This window comes from Homo sapiens, chromosome 1 (assembly GCF_000001405.40).
Source record: "Homo sapiens chromosome 1, GRCh38.p14 Primary Assembly".
Taxonomy (NCBI): Eukaryota; Metazoa; Chordata; class Mammalia; order Primates; family Hominidae; genus Homo; species Homo sapiens.
Genome location: NC_000001.11, coordinates 148,765,178 through 148,792,813, shown reverse-complemented (window position 1 = coordinate 148,792,813; position 27,636 = coordinate 148,765,178). Strand labels below are relative to the sequence as shown.

Here is a 27,636-nt window from a genome sequence, read left to right as displayed (position 1 = left end):
CTGAGACATGCCCGTGAGCACCTCCAGCACAAATATTTTGGTTAAAGTACAAGGACATAGAATGTACTTATTCCTTTATGTCTAATAGCTACATAGGATAGGGCTTAACAGAGAGTTAATAGCACAAAGCAAGGAGGATTGAAGGAAGTTAGTCTTTAAAAGAAACTATTATTTCTAACACTTATGATTTATTCTTTAACAAGAAGGGAAACTCTGAAGAGGAAACTTTTTACTTTCTACACCCAATTATCCTACTCACCCCACACATCCCAAGCCCCAAGGCGTGAACCAGCTGGGCCTGCTCTCTGCTAGGCTTTCCTGACAAAGTAGGGAAACCAGACAGACATGTTGGAAGAAGTATTACAGTTTCATGAAATAGCTTCCTCTAGAAGGCAAGAGATAGCTTTGCTGTGGCTTGATATTTGAAATAGGCTATTTAAAGTCATAATTTTTTTTTTTTTTGAGACGGAGTCTTGCTCTGTCACCCAGGTTAGGGTGCAGTGGCGCGCAATCTCGTCTCACAGCAACCTCCGCCCCCTGGGTTCTAGCAATTCTACTGCCTCAGCCTCCCTAGTGTCTAGGATTACAGGCGCCCGCCACCACACCTGGTTAATTTTTGTATTTTTAGTAGAGACGGGGTTTCGTCATTTTGGCCAGGCTGGTCTCGAACTCCTGACCTCAAGTGATCCACCCGCCTCGGCCTTCCGGAGTGCAGGGATTACAGGCGTGAGCCACTGCGCCCGGCCAAAGTCGTAATTATTTTAAACAGAGGCTTTCACGGGACTTCCAAAGCGCACCTTGTTCTTTCCGGCTCATTCCCCCTTCCCCTCTAACCCTTCACTTTCACTTCTCTGACTGGATGCACTGTGCGGAGGACACAGCTAAGGGCTGTGAAAATTCAAGAATAAAGAAAAGTCCTGCCTTCACGCAGCTCGCACTGTGAGGAGGTTTAATCAGGGATGGTAATTCAAAATAACTCGTGTTTAATCACCAGTGCAGATGGTGTCAGTAAACCTGCCTGGGGCGCTGCTTCCCAACCCCCACCAGGGCCTACGCCCTGCAGCCCACCGGAGGCGTGGCCGGAGGGCAGGCGCCAGGGCGGAAGGCGGGGGTCGTTCTAATTCCCTGGGGGTAGCTAATGGCCATGCCTGGAGGCGAAGCTTTTCAAAATGACTAACATGGAAAACCGCCAAAGACAATGGAATCTGGCAGAACTGTGGGGAGCAGGAATCTTAAGCGTTTGCATGTTGTTGGGGTAGAAGGGGCTCAAGAAGGGGATGCTCAGGGCAATAGCTTTTTTACTAATCTGTAAGAAATGTTCCAGTATTTTAATAGCTGGTACAGCCATACTGATGCATGCAGTCCAGATCGATAGATATTGGTCCAGATACAGTGGCACCTGTTAAAAGTTCAGTACATCACATTCTTTCAGGATTATCCCCAGTTCCCACCTTCTCCAATACGCCGTACCACATTCCTGCAATACATTGTAACTTATTTTTTTCTTTGTCTTTCAATAACTTGAGTTTCCTAGCGGGCAAACGACGGGTCTTAATCATCTCTTTGTTATCCATACCTTTTACGATAGCTGCTTTATGCTGGTAGGTGCTCAAAAGTATACTGAATTGATTAAAAACAGCACTAATTCCAGATGTCTTAAAAGAAAGCTGTTTTGTGTTTTAGAAACGCAGTGGAAATTTCTGAAGTAAGACAAGTTTCTGGAGCAAGCTTGGGAGGTTCTGAAGACAAAGCTGAGAATGGAATTTATATAATTTGTTTAAAGTGATCAATTTTATTTTACTTTTCCATACAGTCTAAGTAAAACCTTGAGCCTTAAAAAAAGATGAGATATTGAAAAAATAGTTTGCACATTTCTTCTGTTGGACTTTTCATTCATATATTAATGCAAAAAATTTTTACTGAGCACATCAAATGTGCCAGGCATAGTGTTAATGCAGGGAGTTAGAGTACACAGTCTCTACCTTTGTGGAGCTTACAGTCTAGTGGAAAAATCAGATAACCAACAAACTATTAAAATGTAGTTTAACTGCTAAGGAGAAGGAAGAGGGTTTTGTGCTTGAACATGGAAAATATATCTAAGTTGGTTTTAGGAAATCAGGAAAGTCTTCCCGGAAGGTATGACACTAAGGTAACAGTAGGATCCAGTAGTAAGGAACTATTATTCTATTTGGTTATATGCCTTTTTAGGTTTGATTTGGAAATATAGTTACTTTCACTTTTAGGAGAGTGGTGATACAGATAATAAAGTTGCAGGTCATGCTAAGTGAAATATATTCTATTCATTACATAAAAACAAAGTCTAATCTTTGAAATAAACCGTGAACAATTTAACATACCCCGATTTGCTAATGTGAAATGTTTTTCAGGAATACTCTAGGACCATCCTGCAGAAGGAGTGTAATTGTTCAAATGAACCTAGGAATATGATTTGAACAAAGTAGATAGTGCAGGGGAATATCCTTGAAGGATGTGTAGTTTGACTAAAAAATAGTTTTCCTACAGTGGGTGGCTGTGTGTTGGGGGTAGGGGGGATGGAATCTGGTCAATTTTTAAATTATTGCATTGAATTCCAGTGTTAGCAAAGAATACAAAGTGAACTTGAAAGTCTACTTAATATTAGTGGCCCCTACTCTCTGCCATGATACTTTATTGAAAAATTAATTGATTTATTGTTTTTTAATTATAAATTTGGTATTGATTTCATATTGGTTTATCAAGATGGGATGCTTTGTTTAATTGACAAGGAAAGAAATTTTACACACAAATATTTTTGTGATTGTAGTGCCATAGTATTTTCCTTTAGGAATTTTGACTTTGAATAATAAAGTTTGCCTAAACTTTTAATGTCTGTAAAGATCTGAATCTTAGGCTTACTTTTACTATTTTAATAGTATACAGAACATTTATAAAAGCACCTACTACATACCAAACACTGTGCTAAGCCTATTAAATTCATTTTTTTATTTAATCCTCATACTACCATATTAGAACAGGTACTATTAAAATCTCCAATAATAGATAAGGAAGCTCTGAGGCTTAGAGAGGATAGATCACTTGCCTAAATTCACAGCTAATAAGTGGCATAATGAAATTTTTCATCAGGGTTTTTCCCCTTGGCACTGTTGACATTTGGGGATGGATAATTATTTGTTCTTGGGGACTGTTCTGTATATTGTGTAGGAGGTCCAGCAATATTCCTGGCCTCTACCCTCTAGATGCCAGTAGTACCACTACCCTTCCCCACTTTGTTTGTTTGTATGACGACAAAAATATTTCTAGACATTGCTAAATGTCTCATGGGGGCAAAATCACCCCAATTGAGACCCAGTGGTTTTTATTAAGTTTTTGTCGACTCAGACAAAAACTTAATAACCACTGTACTTTAGTGCCTAACCACTGTACTTTACTGCCTTGTTCTAAGGCCTTTTAATGATGTCTTACCTCTTAGGAGTCCAGGAATAACTTTTTAATAAACAGATATCTCAACCAAACAGTTTTATATTTAATCACCTTAATTGTCCAGGCCAGATAATTCAATGTATTTTCATTTTTGTATGTTTTTGTTTTCTTATCAGTGTACTTTCAGTATTTACACTGATAATAGATATCATATTTTAGGTATTTACTAGGTGCCTGTACAAGCTGCCATATTACCGAAGATGGACAGTTATTCAGATAATACAATAGAGAGTAAAATTTACAAAATAATGTAGACAGAGTATTTTATACAGGGTGTTTCCTCTGTGTTTAACTGAAAATTTAGACTTAGGGCAGGAAGAGAGATGAGCTTTTCTTCTCAAATGTGGACTCCCTAACTGATACCCTGTTTATCTTTTTTCCTCATTCCTTTTATGGCATGTTTCTCCTTTTAGGATTTTTGCAATTTCTTTATCTACCTTTCTGTTCTGCCTCAAAATTATTGTATTTTCTTTCATTTTCCTCTGGCATCGTGAAGGGCAGTCCAGACTTGAAGAAAGTGTTAGATCTCACCAAATAGGCAGCAGGAAGCTCCAAGAAAGCAGATAGATAACATGTTATACAGTTAAATTGTCTCACGCTCCCAATCACTGAGGGTTGATTAATCCACTTACTGTAACTGCTTTTAGAGGAAAGTGGTTGGTTCTTGGTGCTGCTGGTCTTTGACCAGCTGAGTTCAGTGGGTATTGATACCCACTGAACTCAGCTATGAAAATGATAAGAGCTATGAAGGCAAAAGTTGTTATTGATACAACTAGTTGTTCAGCAGTCTTAGGTGACAGCAACGAAAAGTATTGCGGTTGTGTGTCAAGTTACTACCTTCTATCTTTTGTAATATATAGATCCAAATCCTACATTTGCTGTTGGATAACCTCAAATTTGTTTCACAGTTTTTCCAGTTATTCTGATCCACTGCATTATTGGATTACTAATAGATATCTCATAATTATATCATATACAAATTTCATTAATCTTTTCTAGATGAAGTAGAAAACACAATGAGGATATCTAAATATTTTTAGGTGGACTGGCTAACTGTGGGCCCTTTGTGACTTTGATCTTGAAAGCAAACTAAAGGTCAGTATGTAAAACAGTGGTTAGGTTGTTTTGTGAGATCTAGATCAGAGCTGCCCCATGGTTTCTTGAGCATTTCCAATGAGTTAGAATTACATAGTAAGACTTCACCTAAAAGGTGGATCTACTATTGAAACAATTTCAATTATAGAGTTAGGGTAGCATAATGCTTAGGAGTAGGGGCTCCAGGGCCAGATTGCCTGCATTCAGATCCTAGTTCCTCCCTTTTTAGCTTAGAGGCTAAAAAGTTTGACTTCTCAAGTAAAAAATTGACATAATAATTCTAATCACCTCATGAAGAATAAACGAGTTAAATAATGTAAAGTGTTCAGAACAGTGGCTGGCAGAAAGTGAACACTTAATAATTTCATTTGATCATTTCTGAAGAATCTTTTCTAATTCCATCTTGCCTTTCTTTTTTTTTTTTTTTTGAGATGGAGTCTCACTCTGTTGCCCAGGCTAGAGTGCAGTGGTGTGATCTCAGCTTACTGCAACCTCCGGTCCCCAGGTTCAAACGATTCTCCTGCTTCAGCCTCCCGAGTAGCTGGGATTACAGGCACCTGCAACCCTACCCGGCTAATTTTTGTATTTTTAGTTGAGATGGGGTTTCAGCATCTTGGCCAGTCTGATCTTGAACTCCTGACCTCATGATCCACCTGCCTTGGCCTCGCAAAGTACTGGGATTACAGGCGTGAACCCCCATACCCAGCCTCATCTTGCCTTTCTTAAAGGTTCACAGATCAGAACTGCACATAATCGATACACTGGATGCAAATATGTAATGAATGAATGATTTTTCACATTACAAAATTAATTTGTGCGTATTATAGAAAGTTCAGTAAATACATAAAAGCAAAATGACCAAAATGTTAACAGTGTTTATTAACTATAATCTGTACTCAAATTATATCCATTTTGGTGGATGACCTTAAACATATGTATGTGTGTATAACATTAAATAATAGGTAATACCGTAAGACTGTTTCACCTAATTTTTTCCACTTAACAGTGTTTAATGAATATTTTCTCATATCATTAAACTCTATACAGCATTGTTTTAATGGCTGCATAGTATTCCATTGTATGAATATGCCAGAAAGATTATTATTTAACCATGAAGATTGTGCTAGCATTGTGTTCTCAAGGATGGTAATGCTAACTGAACCAGCATGGTAAGGTGTTGGTTGGCATACCATAATCCCTATAAATACATCCCCAGTGTTGTATATTGGCAGTCTTTACATTGCTGTTTGCAAATTCCTGAAATTGCAGAATGCTTTTGGCCAGTTTCTTATAGTTGATACAGTTGTTAGTCTTTTTCTCAGGTTACAGTAATGTTTACAGTGCCTCTTGTAAAGTCAAAGGATTTGTACCAATCTGAGTGGCAATTTTTTCCATGTTTCTTCAACTAGTCCTTTTAAGATTCTCACCTGCCTTTAGCAAAGAACATATATTTAACACCTGTGGTTGCAGTTATGTAAAAAATACCGATGTCACAGCCCCACCTCCAAGATGCTGACTTAATTGGTTTGGTGGTGGAGACTGGGCATAAGTAGTTTTGTTTTTGAGATTTCCCCAAATGATTCTATTGTGAAGCCAAGGTTGAAAATCACCGATCTATGTTGATATTCTTTCTTGGCACTTGAGTAGCATTCCCAACATTATTTGCATGCTTTTTATCTACTCTTGTGGGTTCAGATCTCTTCAGAATGGCACTGGGGAAACAAAAAGATTGGTAAGTACCATTCAAATTTAGGAAAATAGAATATTGGGCACTAGTTCTTATTGGCTAAAAGCATATGACAGTATTCACTCTTACTGGCTGGCCATATATTAGTAGTACTGTTTAATATGATAATTTTGATATAATTATTATAAAGTACTGTTTAATATATAAAACTGTACATACATACAGACATACATATGTTAATATAGAACTATTTCTCAAATATATAACAAATATATGTCAATAAAACAAATAATTGCCATAACAGTGGTATTAAACAAGATAAATCTACAAACTAATACCTCGACTGGACTCTGCCTATCTCCCCTGGTTCACCTCATGCTTATTCACCTTCTTATTCATACTGAAATTTCCAGTTCACCATTTTTACATATAGCTTAGAATCTTATTATCCTGTAATTGTACATTTGCTGATCTGCCACTTTATCATTTTATTGTTGCTTCCTTGTTTTTATTATCAGCTTAGCAGTACACTATCTACAATTTTAAGATATCACTTTGTACTTTATCAAAGTTAGACCTCAGATCCTGGGAGACCCTAGCATAAATACTTTTCTACTTAAATATTTAGTTATTAAACATCTGCCAAAGGGAGGCTATTCTTTCTATGTAAAATAAATAATTCCAAAATAGGATTATTTCTTTGCATCACATGGCAGTGTCCTAGTCTGGGTTACTATACAAAATACCATAAATTGGGTGGCTTATAAATGACAGAAATTGATTTTTCTAGTTCTGCAAGGTGAAGATCAAGCACCAGCAGATTTGGTGACTATTGAGGGCCTATTCCTGGTTCATAGATGTCACCTTCTGGCTGTTTCCTCACATGGTGGATGGAGCAAGCTAGCCCTCTGGGGTCTCTTTTATAAAGGTACTAGTCGCATTCATGAGGGCTCTACCCTCATGACTTAATCACCTCCCAAAGGTCCCACTTCTTAATACCATCACTTTGGGGGGTTAGGATTTCAACATGAATTTTGTGGGGGATACCAGCAAACATTCAGACTATAGCTGGGTAGCTGGCAGAAAGCTCCCCTACCCCACATGTGGATGGAAAAACAATGTCTATTTGCTTCCCATTCTTCAGGCACTTCCTTTCCCTGTTGGATCTAGTAGATTGGAGATGCATGGTTTTCTTCTTTTGAAATGACACTGCTGGTTTTTCCAGTAGATTTGCCCCCTCTTTTTAACAAAAATAATTGTAAAAGCAGTTAGAAATTGTTCAGGAAAATATTACCTGTAATTATAACATGTGAATGCTATTATTTTCATTTTTGTCTGCATATATCCCTCGATATTCAAACTTTTGCTGTCCAAACTTGGGAACCAAATAGATTTCTTCAGTAAAGGGTATCTGACATGCTAATCTTTGTCTCTACCCTTGGTCATTTTTATGTAATTGCAGTCAAAGTGTTCATAATAATTTGCAGTCACTAGTACACACATTTAGTTTTGTTTAAATGCTAAAAACTGTAACACTTGTGGAAGGTTCTGCTGGATATTCCAACATAAAAATGAAATTCACCAATCTTGTTCCTAGGATATTCCCCTGAGTATAGCACATGCTGTGTAGTTCTGTGCCAATAACTGCAAATGAAATGGGTTAGGAGGAGAGTACTGTCCTAATAGTGGAAAGAAGACTGGATTGAAAGTTAGGAGTGCTTAAGTGTATTTGAGGTATATGCTTTTGCTTCTTAGCAAATAACTAATGCGATCATCTTGAAGAAGTAGGGGTTAGGTCTTCCTCTGTACTCTGAAAGTAGGTTGTCTTTCCTCCGTTAAAATGAATCTTACTTACCTGTAAATGAAGGACCTCATTCAGAGTGTCCTCATAATATGGTGCTTCTCACTAATTGATACAGCATTTTGTGGAAAATTCTTAAATGAAGATGTCTTCTTTCAGTCTGGCCGGGACCTTCAACAGTATCAGAGTCAGGCTAAGTAACTCTTTCGAAAGTTGAATGAACAGTCCCCTACCAGATGTACCTTGGAAGCAGGAGCCATGACTTTTCAGTGAGTGTAATCTTGATTTCTTTATGATCATTTAAGTGTGAAATACAGTAACAGAATGCCTGATAAAAAATAATAATTTTTAAAAAGTAAAGATTACTTAAAAATGTTGTCTTTTGGGAGGAGCAACTTCTCTGGCTCTAATTCTACAAAATGGACATCTTGTTGGTTTTTTCAGCATGCTTACAGTAATTTAACCTGTTAACATGTGTCTATGCTGTGCCCATCATGCAATAATAGATAACTTCTTGCTTTAGGACTGTCTTGGAGCCAGATATGTGTAGGTTAGTACCCTTGCTCAAACATTTCCTAACAGTGTAACTTTGAGCAGCTCACATAACTTCTCTAAGCCTCAGTTTCCTCTATAAAGTAGTGAAAATAAACATAGGAGGTTTGAGAGGATTGTGAGGGAATCCGTGTGTATTACTTAGCATCTTGTCTGACACACATGGGAAGGGTCAATAATTATTAGTTATTATTATTTTGAAAAAAGAAAATTATAAAAGATAAGAGCATCTTAATCAGTGGTTATAAACGATACAGCTGATAGAGGACTCAAAGGAACATTATTGGATTTTAAATTATCTACAAATAATTGGTATTTAATGTTTAATACATGCCAAGTTTGAAGCTGACAAAATGGGAAGGATTAAAAAGGAAAAGAGTACAAGAGCATCAGAGGAAAATAAAAACGGATTAGTTAAATAATCTTTGCTATTTTAGGGACTTAGATAGTAAGATAACTTAGGCCAGGGAGGAAGCTGCTATGTTTACTTTTAAAAAACAAAACAAAAATTCTCTACCTATAAAAGACAAGTAAAAAGTACATCAAAACAAAAATAAAACCCTAGGCAATTGGCTAAGAAAATGTTGGACATTATGTTTTATGATGTATTAATTTTTATAATATCTGAAATATTTTCTAGAACTCTAATTTTCAACACCAAAAATAGTCACTCACTTAATATCTAGTATCCTCATTTTCACCATGGTTTAGAGAACCAAGACCTAGGAAAGTTCTCATGGAACTGAGAAGAGATTTTCTTCTGCCTGATTCCTTTAGGACATTCATAATCTCATATCATCCTTTATTTCCATCCAAGAGCTATTAAGGGTTTATTCTTTGCCGGACCTTATATTGAGTCCTGCATTTAATGTCCATACCTTTTAACACTGTTCTCTTAGTACAGAGAGAGACATATACTCAAACAAGTATACTATAATATCTTCATTGAAAAGATGTTGTAAATTAGATTTAAATGAAATGTTTTGGGAACAGAGAGAAGGAAGGAACAAATTCCCATTTGTAGGGGGTAAGTTTGAAGAAACGGGACAGAGGAGGGGAGTATATTTAAAGAAGTTTCACAGAAAAAATTATGGTAGAATTGAACATATGGAAATGAACAGGATTTCTCCAGGTATTTAAAAGAGCATTAATGGTTAGAAAAAACAATATAAGCAGAAGTCCACAAATATGTAAAGAACCTAGCATGTTGGAAAACAGTCCGCCATTTGGTTTATTAAAATATATGATAGAATGTTGCTTACACTTGTTTTGAAAGGCTGTAAATATAATACCATGGAGTATGATTTTATTTTGTAGGTATTAGGGAACCCTTAGAGTTTGTAAGCAGGGTAATATGGTCATCTGTAGTCTCTGGGAATAAAACTGATGGTATAGAAGATGGTGTAGACTAAAAGCAAAGAGACCAGTTAACTCAGGTGCCCAAGCAAGGAATAAGACAGCTGTATTATTAATATTATTTTAAGGGACCTGAGAGATCATATAATAGTCTTTATCCTTTATGGAGCCCTAGGATGCCTCAGGAGCCACATAGAAAGGGCAAGGATGGGAGTATATATAATGCTTTGGGCCCCTAAACTCCTCCTTATGTTTTAAATTTTTTCCTTTTATTTTCAGTTGACATGTAATAATTATACATATTTATGGGATACAGAGTGATATTTCAATACATGTATACAATGTGTAATCAAATCAGAGTAATTAGCATATTCATCACCTCAAACATTTATCATTTCTTTGTGTTGTGAACATTCAAAATCTTGTAGCTTTTTGAAAATACGTGGTAAGTTATAGCTAGCCATATTTACCCTACAGTTCTGCAGAACACCAGAACTCATTCTTCCTATCCAGTTGTAATTTTTTATCCATTAACTTGCCTCTGCCCATCCTCCCCTTCTCTCTACCTTTCCCTACTTCTAATACCCACAATTCTACTCTCTACTTCCATGAGCTCAAAAATTTTTTTTGGCTCCTACATATGAATGAGAACATGCCATATTTATCTTTCTGTGCATGACTGATTTTATTTAACGTAATGTCCTCCAGATTTATCCATGTTGCTGCTAATGATAGAAATTCATTCTTTTTTATGGCTGAATAGTATTCCATGGTGTGTGTGTGTGTGTGTGTGTGTGTGTAAAAAACACTTTTAAAATCCATTATTCTCTTGATGGACATTTCTCTTGATTATCTATCCATAGATATTATGAATGGTGCTGCCGTAAACATGGGGGTACAGATAAGTTTTTAACATAATGAGTTTTTTTCCTTTGGAGAAATACCCAGCAGTGGGATTGCTAGATTGTATGGTAGTTCTGTTTTTAGTTTTTTGAGAAACCTCCATACTGTTTTCCATAGTGTATAAAAGTTCTCTTTTCTCTTCATCCTCAACAGCATTTATTGACTTTTGTCTTTTTAATAGACATTTTAACTGGGGTGAAATAATATGTCGTTGTGGTTTTTATTTGCATTTACCTGAAGATTAGTGATGTTGAGCATTTTTTCATATACTTGGCCATTCGCATGTCTTTTGAGAAATGTCAATTCTGTTCCTTGCCTACTTTTTAATTGAATTATTTTTGGTTTTGCTGTTGAGTTGTTTGAGTTCCTCGTATGTTCTGGATATTAGTTCCTCATCAGATGAATGAAACTAGATCCCTATCTCATCATATACAAAAATCAACTTAAAGTAGATTAAAGACTTAAGCATAAGACCCTAAACTATAAAACTACTAGAAGAAAACATAGGGGAAATGCTTCAGGACATGAACCTGGGCGAAGACTTTATGGAAAAGACTTCAAAGCATAGGCAACAGAAAAGAAAGTAGACAAATGGGACTGTATTAAACTAAAAGCTTCTGCACAGCAAAGGAAACAACACAGTGAAGAGACAACTTGCACAATGGGAGAAAATATTTGCAAACTCCTACTTAAACTAAAGAACCTCTGATTTTATCTGATATATACATTGGCCTTCTGAATATAAGTTTTGCTTGTTATATATACATATTCCATATATAAATATATATATTTGCATGTGTGTGTGTGTATACTATGGCTAAAAAGAAGTTGGAAAACCACTTAGTAGCCTAACATTTTTCTAAGAATTTCTCAGATGTGTAATCATATAGCCCCTTCCAGAGTGCATGGGCGCTCATCATCACAAAAGAAAGTCAGTTCCATTGTTGAAAAGTTTCCAGTTGATTACAGAGTCCTCCTGGACTGTAAATTAAGGAGTCTTATTAGTCTTGTACCCAGTAAACATTATGTCATTAACCTTACATTTCTATCCACAGAAATTTCCAGTTACAGTGTTTTCCTTTGTGGCTGGAAAGAGTTTAAATATGTGTATGCTAGTTTACCATATAGAATCAAAGGGTGGATGGAGTCACAACTCTGAATTTTTCAGGAAAAAGTCTTAAGTATTAAGCAAAAAACAAATAACCCCATTTAAAAAATGGACAAAAGACATGAGCAGATATTTCTCAAAACATACTAGAGGCTAGCAAACTAATGAAAAAATGCACATCACTAATTATTGGAGAAATGCAAATCAAAACCACAATAAGATACCATCTCACAACAGTCACAGGGCTATTATTAAAAAGTCAGAAAACAACAGATGCTGATGAGGCTGTGGAGAAAAAGGAATTGCTTATACACTGTTCGTGGGAATGTAAATTCAGCCACTGTGGAAAGCAGTTTAGAGATTTTTCAAAGAACTTAAAACAGAACTACCATTAGACCCAGCAAACCCATTAATGGGTTTATATCCAAAAGGAAACAAATCTTTCTACCAAAAATCATGCACTTGCATATTCATTGCAGCACTATTCACAATAGCAAAGATATCAACTAGGTACATGTTAGTGGTGGATTGGATAAAGAAAACGTAGTATATATTCAGTATGGAATACTATGCAGTCATAAAAAGAAATGAAATCATGTCTTTTGCAGCAACATGGATGGAGCTGGAAGTCATTACCTAAGTGAATTAATGCAGGAACAGAAAACTAAATACTGTATATTCTCATTTATAAGTTTATAAGCTAAACATTGGGCACTCATGGACATAAATATACTGAGGACTTACTAGAAGAGGAGGGAAGGAGGGGGCAGGGGTTGAAAAACTATTAGGTAGTATGCTTAGTACTTGGGTGACGGGATTGTTTGTACCCCAAACCTCGGCATTATGCAATATACCCAGGTAACAAACCCGCACATATACATCCTCAAGCTAAAATAAAAGTTTAAAATGTTAGTTGAAGAATTGTGTAATGGGCTGGGTCCAGTGGCTTACACCTGTAATCTCAGCACTTTGGGAGACTGAATTGGGTGGATCGATTGAGGTCACGAGTTTCAGACCAGCCTGGCCAAAATGGTGAAACCCCATCTCTACTAAAAATACAAAAATTAGCTGGGTGTGGTGGTGGGTGTCTGTAATCCCAGCTATTTGTGAAGCTGAGGCGTGAGAATCACCTGAACCTGGGAGGCGGAGATTGCTGTAACTGAGATCATGCCACTGCATTCCAGCCTGGGTAATCTGGGTGATCGAAAGAGCCCTGTCTCAAAAAAAAAAAAAAAAAAAGAGAATCTAATGGATGAAAAATTATAATAAATATGTCTAAATACTCCTTTTAGAATATACGGCTAATAGGCTGGGTGCAGTGGCTCACGCCTGTAATCCCAGCACTTTGGGAGGCTGAGGCGGGCGGATCACGAGGTCAAGATATCAAGACCATCCTGGCCAACTAACGTGGTGAAACCCCGTCTCTACTAAAAATACAAAAATTAGCTGGGCATAGTGGCGCACGCCTGTAGTCCCAGCTGCTCGGGAGGTTGAGGCAGGAGAATGGCTTGAACCCGGGAGGCGGAGGTTGCAGTGAGCCGAGATAATGCCACTGCACTCCAGCCCGGGGGCAGAGCGAGACTCCGTCTCAAAAAAAAAGAAAAAAAAAAACCAAAAACAAAAAAAAAAGAATATACATCTAATAATGGGAAGATGTTTGCTTTCTGATTCCAAGGATTTGCGGTTTTAAATTGACTCTCGTTTAGCCAGCCTCAAAGTATTTAGGCTAGATTTTTAAAAAAGTTTGCATGGTACAGAGATTCTGCTTTAAACTGTTGTCAGTGCTATTACTTTACAGACAACTTTGTCTTGCTTTTTATGTCTCACCAGCTACATTATTGAGCAGGGGGTGTGTGATTTGGTTTTATGTGAAGCTGCCTTCCCTAAGACGTTGGCTTTTGCCTACCTAGAAGATTTGCACTCAGAATTTGATGAACAGCATGGAAAGAAGGTGCCCACTGTGTCCCGACCCTATTCCTTTATTGAATTTGGTAAGTTTTTGCCCCTCACTTCTCTCTATCAAGGGAGCAAACAATATGGAGAAGCTATTTGTTACACTGATATAATATTTATACATTTTTTCTGATGTTTACTTGCTGAAGTTTTAGCTTCTGCTTCCTTTTCCATTCCACTTCTTTTTGTCTTTTTGAGTGACTAAGGCTTTGTTCTGAAAAGTAATTTTCTCTAGTCTTTTGATCTTTCCTCCATAGAAATTGTTGCCTTTTGCCCTTTCTGTTATTTGGTTTGATTCTTCTTTAGAGTCACATGTGACAGGAACTTTGCTAAAGATCTACTTGATTGGCATATAATGGCTGAGTTCTTCTTTACCCCAGTCCACAGACTCACACTCACAATAAGGCTCATTTTATGGAGATCAGAATTGGGAAATCAGAAAGAATGATGTTTTGTTTCTTTTAGTAGAATAAGATCCTCTAATTAAAAAAACAAAACAGAACAAAGAAATAGAAGATACCTGGTACTCATGGTATTGGGGTATAATATTTACTACATTCAGGAATGGTGAGCATAGGTGTCTGTATTTGTACAAGAATTATAGAAAGACCAATTACTAATCAGACCTGGTAAAGTATCTGATGGTAAGGGATCAAAGGAAATGTCCTAAGTACAGTAAGTACAGGGAGTGAGAACAAGTAGGATCAGGCTATATCGCTGCAATTTTTAGTTAAAAGAGAAATTGGTTTTACTGGCTTAGAATTTTTGAAGTGTTTCAAGTTTGCTAGATAAATGGGTCATCTTGCTTTGGAAAAACACTCTAGTGTTTCATAACTATATACTCTCCAAGTGCTGCTTTATATAATGTCCAGTTTTTCAAATTTTATTTTTATAGACAGTAATACTCCCATAAACCTCCCTCAAAAAGAAGACAAATGTATCAGGGTCATACAGGAAACAGATGGCACACCCAAATTAGCTTAAGGGATTATATACAAAGATATGACTAGGCTGTAGGAGAATTACAAGGTACAGTAACCTCTGACCAGTAGCATACTGGTTGTTACCATCCCTAGGCCTGAATGTATAAGGGGGAGGAGCAGTTTCTGAAACTGAAAAGGAGAAAATTTCTAGAGAAGGCCAACTTGAGAGGAGCGTAACTTTTGGTAGAGGGATACTTCCAGAAGAAGGTTATTTCCTTCTCTGAAAGAAGCCAGGGGAATAAATACCCGGACATCACTCACTGTCTGTTCTCCTTCTTCCCTACTGTTGGGGCTTCTTCATTGCCTGAACCTAACTGGCACAGAGCAAGGAGTCTATTGAGGCGCTTCATCCAAGTCAGCTTCCCAGTGCAGAAAGCAAGGTGCAGGAGGGCAGAGAGGAGATCTAAAGAGGCAAATGAAAGGGGTACAGCACACTTAAATTAAGATTTTTGCCAAATGTTGAAAATATCTTTAATAATAAGTCGTTCTTCCTATAGTTTTGAGAAATACTGATATGAGCAAAAGATGGATGAGACTTCAGTTTTTATTTATTTATTTATTTATTTACTTAGAGACAGAGTCTCGCTCTATTGCCCAGGCTGGGGTGCAGTGGCATGATTTTGGCTAACTGCAACCTCTGCCTCCTAGGTTCAAGTGATTCTTGTGCCTCAGCCTCCTGAATAGCTGGGACTAGAGGTGCACGCTGCCATGACCAGCTAGCTAATTTCGGTAATTTTGGTAGAGATGGGAGTTTTGCCTTGTTGGCCAGGCTGGTCTCGAATTCCTGGCCTCAAGTGATCCACCCATCTTGGCCTCCCAAAATGCTGGGATTTATACGTGTGAGACACAGTACCTGGCCGAGACTTCAGTTCAGTTTTATATTGGTATTTTGGAAAACTCCCTATTACATACTTGCTTTACCTGAGGTTTAAGAATGGAATGAAACTGGGAATGTATATTAGAGAAAATAAGGTAAAGTTTCTCAGCTTTTTAATGATCATGAGCCCTTTTGCCATGTTAGGCTGTAATAATGCTAGAGTGTTACCAGCATCCTTTTAAGGAATGTGTAGAGGTAAGTAACACTTAGCCTAAGGGTCCTCAGAATACTGTTTGAAAATTTCTGTTTTCAGGAAAGGCTTACTATAGTGGGTCTTAATTTCTCTAAGGATTCTGATAGCAGCCTTAGATAGCAAATACTTCTAATTTAAAGGTATTCAAAGGACATTTCTCCTGAATGGTCGTCTAATTATACCTTTACATCTTACAAATGAAATAATCAAAGCCTAGATTTTGATATTCAACCAAGAGTTTGGTTAACCATGGACAGTGGCAAATCCAGGAATAAAGACAGAACTGTTTTGGTTTTTTTGTTTTTGTTTTTGAGACAGAGTCTTGCTCTGTCACCCAGGCTAAAGTGTGGTGGTGTGATCTCAGCTCAGTGCAACCTCTGCCTCCCAAGTTCAAGTGATTCTCCTGGCTCAGCCTCCTGAGTAGCTGGGATTATAGGCGTGTGCCGCCACGCCTGGCTAACTTTTTATATTTTTAGTAGAGACGGGGTTTCACTGTGTTAGCCAGGATGGTCTCGATTTCCTGACCTCATGATTCACCTGCCTTGGCCTCCCAAAGTGCTGGGATTACAGGTGTGAGCCACCGTGCCTGGCCAACTCAGAACTTTTAATTTCCTACCTCAGTACTTTGATGGCCATGAAAGAAATGGTCAGTTTTCTTCATCATTCTAGATACTTTCATTCAGAAAACCAAGAAGCTCTACATTGACAGTTGTGCTCGAAGAAACCTAGGCTCCATCAACACTGAATTGCAAGATGTGCAGAGGATCATGGTGGCCAATATCGAAGAAGTGTTACAACGAGGAGAAGCACTCTCAGGTATCTAAAAGCAATGAGTCTTATGAAGAAATGGTTCTCATTCCATAGACAAGGATAGCTTATTTTGCAGTGCCTTTTATGCTATTAGATTCTACCTAGAACTGTTAAGAATTTATCTCCCAGAAGTACATTACATTACAATGCTTCCAATATATTTTTTTTCCTAGCATGATTAGTTTTTGTTGAGTTGGAACAGTGTAAAGGACTCATCCATATTAGAAGCAATGATTATTTCTAAGATATTCACAAAATTAATTAAATTATATAACTTGTATAAATTAAGGGAAATGAATGAGAGAAAACTCAACAATGTATTGCAGTGGTTTTTTGAGTAGCCTCTTTGGGAGACTTTACTGCTGCCAGATCAATCTTTATAAAATGCCATTTTCATCAAAGCATTCCTCTCTGAAAAACTTTTAAATCTGGGACTACAAGATAAGATCCAGTCTGACTTATTTTTCCGTCAGTCAGCCATTGTTATTGAGAGCTTGTTATTTGTAAGGCGTTGTGCTCTACATATGGAAAATAAGGAAGATGCAAATGTCTGTCATTCTCTAGTTCACAAACATTCTTCTGTAGCCACACCAGCTTCTTTACTATCCTTAGTGGTCCTTAGAACAGAATACTGCCTTATGCTGGACCTGTTCTGTATGTAAGACCTCCATAAGAACTGTCTCTTTAAAGAACCTTTCTCTGATCCTTATAGCCTGTATCACATTAATCTCTTCTGTCCTTTAAACTCCTAAAGCACTTAGTAACATAATGGTTTTAGCACATATTACATGTATGTGTGTTTACCTAATTTACCTTAAATATATTTATTAAATACCTCTTACCATATTAAATATATATTTAATATATATTAAATATATTTCCATATAACATAAGTATATGTTTCATATATTTATATTAAAGTAGGCAAACATATTTGGATAATTAAATATTTTTATATAATTTCATATATTTTTTTGAGACAGAGTCTTGTTCTGTTGCCCAGGCTGGAGCGCAATGGCACGATCTTGGCTCACTGCAACCTCCATCTCCTGGGTTCAAGCGATCTTCCCACCTTATCCTCCTGAGTAGCTGGGGCTACAGGCATGTGCCACCACGCCTGGCTAATTTTTGTATTTTCTTAGTAGAGATGGGGTTTTGCCATGTTGTTCCGGCTGGTCACAAACTCCAGGGCTCAAGCAATCCACTCACTTCAGCTTCCCAAAGTGCTGGGATTACAGGCATGAGCCACAACACCCAGCCCTTTATATAATTTTAAAAGTGTAGGTAATTAGGTAAAATTAGGTTAAAAGTATATGTATATTTACCTGATATTTCAATATTACCTAAGTGTTTAATGTGGACATGTAAGCTCTTTAAAGATAGTGCTTATGTATTTTATATCTGTTTCACATACTCCTTATATATCCCCCACAGAAATGGTCACAAATAGGTTCCTTAATAAGTATTTTTGAATTCAGCCATGCTATATATTCATTAGTAAGTGAGTTTTCTTTTATTATGAACTACAAACTTTAACCTTTTTTTGAGTAGTGAGCAGTTATTCATTTACCTTCACACTCTTTAAATACCAAATTTTGAGTGAGTGAGTGTGTAAGGTTTTGTCATACAGACTTGCAATTCCTATATGGGATAAAGTAGACTAGCACAGGAATTTTTCTTGTATCACTCATGCAAGACTCTAAATTCCTTAAAGGCAGGGATCATGTATATTTTGATCACTGTTGTATCCTCAGCACTTCACATGGTGCCTGTCACATAAATATTTGTTAAATGACTTCTCCAAGCAATAGCTTTGTCTTTATGTTATCCTGTATTTCAAAACGTTCATATATAAATTCTCTCAACTATGACTTGTTTCATAGGGTCTAATAATTGTTCCTCTGCTGAGTTATTCTCAGCAGATTTAGATTCATTTAGCAAATGTTTATTGAGCACTAACTATATACCAGGCCCTGTTCTGGGCATTCAGGATATAGCAGCAAACACAATAATTTAAAATCCCTGTCCAGTGAAGTGTATATTCTTGTAGGCTCTGTAAAAAGATGCCCTGTGCATTGTCATGGTTATTTCTCAGTCCCTGACTCTTCTTCCGTCACTAGATGTTTTTCTTACTCATGTGATCAGTTGCTAATTCAGACGTGGCTGTCATGCCTGTGTTATTAAGTAACGCCATGTTTCCCAATCAAAACCAGTCTCTATTAAGCAACTCCAAATATTCCAAAAGCATTCTTTAAGGAAGAAACAGCCGGATTGCAAAATAGTTTTTTCTGAAATTTCAAGAAGTGAAAAGTTTGATCAGAATTTATTATGTCAAATGGAGAGTTTGTGTTTATTATTAAAATATGCCCTATATTTTAATATGGTCTAGCTTGTGTCTATCTGGCTATTTCTCTAAGTGTTTAGTTAACTGTTATAAGAAGATAACAACATTACAAATGTCCTTGGGGGTGAAAAAACTTGCCAGAAAATACTAAAAAGCTTAATTTACTTGCGTTTTTTTTTGTAGTACTTATTGTATTTTAGTTACAACTTTCCTATGTCTATTGAAATATAAATCCTGATAGCTTTAACTTCGTAGTAGTCTCTACTATGTGGAGAATCTTAGAAATGTTAGCAGTCATCATTGAAGTATAGCTTAAGACTGTGTTTGGTTAATTGAATTTTCTGGTTATCTGAGTTTGTTTTACATGGATTATCATTATCGTTTTTCAAAATATAAGAGAATATGATTCAGACCATTAGAAGATTATGAAGATAATAATTATTAACATGTAATAATTATTATAATTTATCATGTGCAGGCATTGTTGCTCACTTTACAGGCAATCTCATGTACATACAACTTTATGACATAGTTACTGTTATTATCCCCAATTATAGATGAAGAAACTAGGTTTTAAATAGGTTACATGACTTGACCAATGTCACATAACTTGTACAGGTGATATCTGAACCAAAGAGTCTGAGGCCAGAACCTGCACTTCTAACCACCTTACTATATAGCCTCAAAAATTCAGACATAATCTGATCAGCATCATCAGTTAATTAGTATATGCAATGTTAGCCTCAAAATAAAAATGATGATTTAAGATTCATGGTTGTTGCAGTGCTGCTCATTTTGGTTATTTTTAATGCCTTAATACTTTCGGTAAAATACTTCCAGGGACTAATTAATGTTTTCCTTTTTTCCTCTTTGACAGCATTGGATTCAAAGGCTAACAATTTGTCCAGTCTGTCCAAGAAATACCGCCAGGATGCGAAGTACTTGAACATGCATTCCACTTATGCCAAACTTGCAGCAGTAGCTGTATTTTTCATCATGTTAATAGTGTATGTCCGATTCTGGTGGCTGTGAAATAATGAATACAGTCACTGGTAAGGGAGAACCTAGAACCCAGTAGGTGTATATTTTCAGGAAACTGAGCTCACAGAGATGTGTATTAGAATCCAAGTGGAACTTCTGCCTCTAAAGACCTTGCAAGAAAAGAGATGTCCTGAAAATGAAAGGTTGCACCTCATTTAATGAAGCTTAACCCTATGTAGAAAGTCTCTTTCGGGGGCAGAGGCTTTCTCTGGGTGCCAAGCCATATATATTAGGGAATAGTAGATTGTTATTTCGTTTTTTCCCTCCCAGTGCATTTTAAAAACAGCACTGGCTGGGCATTCTCATTCTCTGATGGAGCCATCAATGAGATTTAACTTAGTCAACCTGTGCTAGCAACATTCTGAAATTCCTTCAAAGAAGGCAGTCCTTTGGGAAGGTGTTTTTTTTTTTTTGTTTTTTTGTTTTTTTGTTTTTTTTTGACTCTAATCAACATTCCTTTTGTTGGTGACATTTGTGATTTTCAGTAATCTGAGTTTTTGATGGCCTTTTAAACAAGACTCCAGTATGTGAAGGTTAATTGCTGTGCTCCACAGATCTTGTCTATTGGCCCCTGTAGAAAGTTAACCTTTGTTGTTTTCCTTTTATAATTTGCTTATTGCACAATTGCTTTAGGGTAAGTGAATTATATTAAGATGCCTTGAAATTATAGCACTCCTTGATTAAGAAGCTAAAATGTTTCTCTCATTTACTCCTTAAACAAAAGACTTAAATTAGTTTGGGTCATTATTACTTTTATTTTGCAGCATTTGGTTTGTTATTAGTGTAAGAGCAAGTATAGGATATGGAGAGGCCCCTGGCTTCATGAGAACAAAGGCAGGCCCAGGTTATAATTACAGCTTTCTCCTGCCCCTTCTTTACTTTCTCTACCACAGTTTTCTCCGCTGTTTGTTTTCCTCTTGCCACAATTTGCTAACACTTAAAAAATTTTCCTGCACCCAGTAGTTTCATATCCTGTAGACATCCTCTTAGGACATTCTCAAATTTCAAAATAAAAAATATTCATCTATGTAGTTAATTAAAGTTAAAGTTTCTGCAGATCAACTACTCAAACTACTAAATACATTTACCTGAGAAAAAGTCTCTGAGAGCACTTCATTCCTGTTTTAGTTCGTGTAAATTCTCTGAGAATGTTCTGGAGATAGATAACTCATTTACAGTGGTTTCTATTAACTAATTAAAGTACCCATGATTTTTTCCTTTTCTGCTCAGGGATGATGGAGATTTCCTTTTACCTTTTTTAATGGGGTAAATTTTTTAATGGGGAAAATAGGCCTTTTAAATATTATTGCCAGGGTCTGCAATATAACTTAAAATTCCTGTACATACTGCAAATATTTCTTTAAATTGCACAGGAAAATGAGCGAACTTTTTATTTCTTAATATCTTTGGCAAAAAACTTTAACCAGTAAGCAATTTTATAACCCTGAGGGATCATCAAAGATACTATCCTGATTCCTGGTAAGGAAAAATATATTATTTCCTTATAACAAGGCAAGGAGAAATGCTATTTTATTCCTGATAATTTATATAGCTAGAATAATTTTTTTCCTTTCTTTTATGGACCTAAATCTGCCAATTGGGAATTTTGTGCATGAAATATGAAGTTACTTTTTATAGATAATCAGTGCTTTTAAGTCCCTAAAAGGCTCCTGCTGAAGTAATGATGAAGTTCATAATAAAAGCCTTTGAAAGGCTGAAAACCTACATAGTGGTACCATAGTATTTGGAGCTTCTATAGGAGTGGAGAGGGGCAGCTCATTGTTGAGAGTTGCATGCTGCAACCTAATGGTCAGCAATGAAAGAAATACTTGTAGAATGTTCACTTCAGTGTGAAGTTTTGTTATCTAGTTAATTTATATACATATATCCTTTGTAGATACATTTCTATCTAATCTTGTTGAGCTAATTAAGAAATAAGGGGTGGGGTAATTGTCAACAAAGGGAGAAGAAAGTGGTTTAAGATCAGGGCAGCAGAAAAATTAGAGAACAAGAATATCATAATATGGCTCCTGGTTTTCTTTATAAGAGGCAGTGGGAAGATCTGACTAGATGAAATGTATCATCAACCAAACTGGCATCTAAAATAGAATGGGATAAATACTGTATGGGGTTATTGGAGGCATATTAAGAAAGGACACCTAATTTATTTTGGGAAGAAGTATGTTAAGAGAAGACTTTCTAGAGAAGGAGAATGGGGCATTCTAGGAAGAGTCAATGGCATGTGCAAAGGCATGAATAAAGACAGTGAGGCATGTTTTGGAAATGTAACAGCTTGATTCAGCTTAGCCCATAGGGTAAGCATAGACAACAGAGGAGACTTGAGGAATGAGAACTAGATGGGTACACTATCATAAAGGGACTTGTCTATCATGCTGAGGAGTTTAGACCATCTTAATGGTAGTGGCCAAGGATGGCATCAGATTTATAGTTTCAAGTGATCATAATATTGGCATAAAAGATATATTAGGGAGGAAGCCTGAAGTAGGGAGATGAAAATAAGGAGCCATCAAAGGCAGAATGAAACTTAGGCAGATTTCAAGTGATTTTCAAAAATGATGTGATCAGAGGTACCAGATAATAACTATTACATAACACTTTCTTTGTTAGGAGCTTATTTCTCACACTGACCAAAGCTTTTGAAGTAAGTACTCTTTACACCACTATATAAATAAACCTTACAAAGGATTCTGCTTTGAGGCATGAGAGAGTTAAGTCATTTGCCCAAAGTCACAGAGTTAGAAAGTAATAGAGCTAAGATTTGAACCTAGGCAGTTTGGCTCCAGAGTCTGTGCTCTTACACTATATTACCACCAAGAGGTCAAATAAATACCAAAGAATGTATTTTCGAATTTAACAATGAGGAACTTAATCATACAGGCAGAAGTAATTCCAGAGCACCGGAGACAGAAGCCAGATTGCCATATGGGTTAAAGAGTGTGTAAACCACTAGGAAGTAAAGACATAGAACTACTCTCACAAGTGCTTTTCTGGTTATTGTGACGCTGAACTTCATGGCTTGTTTTAATTAAGACATCTTACAAGTGTCAAAATTTGGAAATATTTGGACACTGTACACTCTGGTTATTTAAATATCTAACAGTGGTTCTTGAGCATTTTGAGAAACCTTTGAAAATCTGATGAAAGGTATGTGCCATTACTCTAGAAAAATGTTCCTGTGTACATGCACATCAAGTATCACATACTGTTTCAGGCTGTTCAAAGACTACAAAGTCTGTTCATGACCTAATGGTCCATGTTCCCTCAGTTAAGAGCTCCAGAGATAAAGGATGTGGAACTCAAAGGTAAGTACCCAGAGCCTTGAAAACTCCATTTGTGACTTGGAAGAATTCTACAATTTGAATTAACTTTGTGGAGAGAGATATATTTTTGAAAAATTGTGTGTACCAAAAAAATTTCATATCAAATAATATTTTCCTGTAGTGCATTCAAGGATCTGGTTCCACAGCAAAAAATTGTTTTGGTCTCAGTTCCTCAAAATCACATTTAAGGAGCTTGAGATTTATATTTTCTACTTAATAAGTCTTACAAAAGCAAGTTAAGAAGGAAAATGGACAATCATTTCTGCACATGTAGGGTTTAATAAAACATGTATAATGAAATATTTCATATTTTAAATTTCCACCTTATTGGTAGCTTTCATGACAAAGGGCTAGGGTGCTGGTGGCCATACAATTAAGGTTTTTGGTTAGTTAGTTAGCAGAACTAACTGACTCCTACCTGGTGGGTTTTTCTTTTGTTTGTTTGTTTGGTTGGTTGGTTTTTTCCCAGATGGCTCAGGAGGAAGGTAAATAGCAGTCATTGTATGTGTGACAGAGTTTGAGATAGAATGAGCATATTGAATCCCACATCCTGTTCTTATTACTGTCAGGCAGCGTTGACCTAGCAGTATAAAACTATCTGAAGCAATGTAGTCACTCAGTTCTCATAAAGTTTATTTCAAGTACTGTAACAATTCATGTTTGGATTAGAAAAGTCACTAGAAATTTGACTTCCATATAGTAATCTATACTTTTTTCTCTCATTTCCTTCATTTTTTGAGCCGTAAGTGTAAGGCATTTTGGTGGTATTATTACAATGGTTATGAGGAGTTTCTTTGCTTGCCCAAGGTCACATAGCTAGCAAGTTAAAGTAGATTCAAATCCAGGCCTGCTAGATACCAAATTATTATTTAAGAGTACTTTTCACTACTCCTAAATAATGACACAGATATGTTTGTCTTACACATTTCACTTTATTGTCAAGTTATTAGTATGTTTATTTTCAAAAGGTATTTTTTGCAATTTCTTTTTATTATTCCGTACTTTTTAAATTTACTTCATTATCACGTCTTCCTTTATTCTTTTTAAATAGTTTTTGCTTTTGTTATTTTGTTTTCCCTTTTTTACTCTTGGTTTGTAATACATCTTTCCTTATTTGCTCCTTTCTCATTTGATCTCAATGTTAATCCAACTGTTTTCCACATCTGATTCACTAAAATTTTAGCCCTTTAAAAAAAAATTCCTGTTTTTCCTATCTCCTTTTGCCCATTCTCTTCTCCTTGCCTCTCTTCTTTTATCTTTTTCCATTTTACTTTCATTTTTTGTTTCTCTAGATGTTGTTTTGACATATGAGTTAATGTACTGGTACAATTTTGCATCTGTAAATTAGAGCTTCAGAATCAACTGAGTGTATTTATTCTTTATTTTTAGGCCTCAATTTATCTTACCTTTTATTGATTTTATAATATACTATACTCTTTCATTTTAGTCTGCATATGTTAGCCAAAGAAGATATGCCCCTGTTTTAAGAAATCTCTGTAAAAAATGTCAAGTGTGACAAGAATTCTTCAAGAAACAAGCTCCTCTAGTTTGTCTTCTATATTTAGAGCTTCAACAGTTACCTATATTACTGGTAACTCCCAAATATACCTTCAAACTTGTTTTTTGGGCCCAAGTTTTTTGCTTCATAGATATCTGTTTTGAATATCCCATAAATAATTGCATCTAAAGCATACCTCCACTCCATTGTTCTCACAGATAAAACCAAACCTGTGCTGCTTCTTATATTTCTAGTATTTAAGCGTCACCTGCCACCCCTTTACCTGAGCTACAAGTCACGCATTGCATTAGACTCCTCTGCTTTCTTCTTTCACCTCTAACTAGACTATTCACCAAAAATTTTTAAATATAACTTTCAAAAGGTATTTTATTACATCATTTCCATCCTTTATGTTTGGGTTCGAGCCCTCATTAACTTTAACATGGATTCTTGGAGTACCCTCCTTACTGATTTTGTTACACGTGTCCCTCTTTTAGTCAGTACTACCATGATAATACCATGGATAATAATTTTTTCATTTTTATTTTTAGTCTTGCTCTGTCGCCCAGGCTAGAGTGCAGTGGCGCGATCTCAGCTCACTGCAACCTCCACCTCCCGGGTTCAAGTGATTCTCCTGCCTCAGCCTACTGAGTAGCTGGGATTACAGGCACCTGCCACAGCTCCTGGCTAATTTTTGTGTTTTTAGTAGAGATGGAGTTTCACCGTCTTGAACTCCTGACCTCATGATCCACCCTCCTCGGCCTCCCAAAGTGCTGGGATTACAGGCATGGGCCACTGCGCCCGGCCAATAATTTTTCTTTTTTTTGTGCTAATCATACTACATTTTCTTTAGAATAAAAGATCACATACTTCAGTTTGCCATTCGCAGTCTGGCCCCATTGTGCCATTCTAGACTTACCTCCTGCCACTCCCCACCAGCTTTGTTTTGTCTTAGCCACACAAAATAATCTAGCGTCTCTAACCAGTCAAACATTTTACCTTGTGCCTTGGCTCACTCTGTGCCTTTTCTCCAGAATATCTTTCTGTGTACTTTTCTCCCATCCTTTTACCTTTAAACCTGCTGCTATGGTTTGGATGTTGTTTGGCCCCTCCAAAACTCACGTTGTAGTTCAATTGCCAATGTAATAGTGTTGGGAGATGCTGCTTTTAAGAGGTAATTAGGTTGCTAAGATGGATTAACATCTTTCTCTTGACACTGAGACTGGGTTCTCCTGGGAATGGTTAGTTCCCAAGAGAGTGAGTTGTTATAAAACAGTGCTGCCTCTTCTATTTTGCGCTTTTTGTTTGCACAAACTCGGTCCCCTTCTGTTTCTCTACGATGTTTTGATGCAGCATGAGGCAGTCATGAGAACCCACCAGATACAGCTGCCTGATCCTGAATTTCCCAGCCAACAGAACCAAGTGCTAAATAAAACTCTTTTTAATAAGTTACCCACTCTCAGGTATTCTATTATCGCAACAGAAAACAGTTTAAGACACCTGCTAGGCTCCTAACCTTGAGGGGCTAGAAAACAAAGCCAGAGGTCCAGTACCAGCCTCCTCAGAGTTAGAATACACAGCTCATGAGTGCTGAGCTCAGCCTTGGCCCCTACAATCTTCCAGAAATGAGGCCACTTGGCTGAGCCCATTATATGCAACATTCAGACCCCCAAGGGCATCAAAGAAGACAAAAGCAGAAAAACCTATCCAAGAAACAGCAACTTCAAAGGTTGAAGCAACATCAGACCACACAGGTGAGAACCAGCACAAGAACTCCGGCAACTCAGAAAGCCAGAGTGCCTTCTTACCTTCAAGCAACTGCGCTATTTCCCCAACAGTGGTTCTTAACCAGGCTGACATGACAAAAATAGAGTTCTGAATATGGATAACCTTGAGGAACATAGATGCAAAAATCCTCAACGACTCAATTTGCTGGACTAGCAAACCAAGCCCAGCAGCATGTCAAAAACGAATCCACCACAATCAAGCAAGCTTTATCCCTGGGATGCAAGTTTGGTTCAACATATGCAAATCAATAAATGTGATTCATCACATAAACAACTAAAAACAAAAACCACATGGTCATCTCAATAGATGCAGAAAGGGCTTTCAATAAAATTCAACATCCCTTCATGTTAAAAACCCTCAGCAAACTAGGCATTAGAGGAACATACTTCAAAATAAGAGCCATCTATGATAAGCCCACAGCCAACATCATACCGAATGGGCCAAATGCTAGAAATACTCCCTGTGAGAACCAGAATAAGACAAAGATGCCCACTCTCACCAATCCTATTCAACATAGTACTGAGAGTCCTAGTCAGAGATAACAGGTTAGAGAAAGAAATATAAGACATCCAAGGAAAAGAGGAAGTCAAACTATCTCTGCAGACAATATGATTCTGTAGAAAACCCCATAGTCTTTGCCTAAAAGCTCTTTGATCTGATAAACAATTAGCAAAGTTTCAGGATACAAAATTAATGTACAAAAATTAGTGGCATTTCTATACACCAATAGCATTCAATCTGAGGGTCAAAATCAAGAATGCAATCTCATTCACAATAGCCACACACACACAAAAATACCTAGAAATATAGATAACGAGGTGAAAGA

General features: G+C 36.8%; 1 pseudogene across 1 annotated transcript, besides 4 other annotated features; it reads left to right on the top strand.

Annotated features, from left to right (window-relative positions):
- The first annotated feature begins 844 nt into the window (after positions 1-844).
- On the top strand, positions 845-26,474 carry SEC22B3P (SEC22 homolog B3, pseudogene; annotated as a pseudogene). Its single transcript, NR_158170.1, has 5 exons — positions 845-962; positions 8,223-8,332; positions 13,813-13,973; positions 16,658-16,804; positions 20,020-26,474. The product of NR_158170.1 is annotated as an SEC22 homolog B3, pseudogene (transcript).
- Positions 13,001-13,167: a silencer, noted in NCBI's record as "fragment chr1:145108701-145108867 (GRCh37/hg19 assembly coordinates)". NCBI's record gives its function as "represses an EF-1alpha promoter that drives an FKBP-Casp9 reporter gene in an ReSE screen in HepG2 liver carcinoma cells {active_cell/tissue: HepG2}" and the evidence as "EXISTENCE:reporter gene assay evidence [ECO:0000049][PMID:32094911]".
- Positions 15,934-16,745: an enhancer, noted in NCBI's record as "H3K4me1 hESC enhancer chr1:145111649-145112460 (GRCh37/hg19 assembly coordinates)". NCBI's record gives its function as "activates a minimal SCP1, AML or CMV promoter by ChIP-STARR-seq in primed H9 embryonic stem cells {active_cell/tissue: H9 hESC(primed)}" and the evidence as "EXISTENCE:reporter gene assay evidence [ECO:0000049][PMID:30033119]".
- Positions 19,897-20,455: an enhancer, noted in NCBI's record as "OCT4-NANOG-H3K4me1 hESC enhancer chr1:145115612-145116170 (GRCh37/hg19 assembly coordinates)". NCBI's record gives its function as "activates a minimal SCP1, AML or CMV promoter by ChIP-STARR-seq in naive and primed H9 embryonic stem cells {active_cell/tissue: H9 hESC(naive and primed)}" and the evidence as "EXISTENCE:reporter gene assay evidence [ECO:0000049][PMID:30033119]".
- Positions 20,456-21,015: an enhancer, noted in NCBI's record as "NANOG-H3K4me1 hESC enhancer chr1:145116171-145116728 (GRCh37/hg19 assembly coordinates)". NCBI's record gives its function as "activates a minimal SCP1, AML or CMV promoter by ChIP-STARR-seq in primed H9 embryonic stem cells {active_cell/tissue: H9 hESC(primed)}" and the evidence as "EXISTENCE:reporter gene assay evidence [ECO:0000049][PMID:30033119]".
- Positions 26,475-27,636: the final 1,162 nt, after the last annotated feature.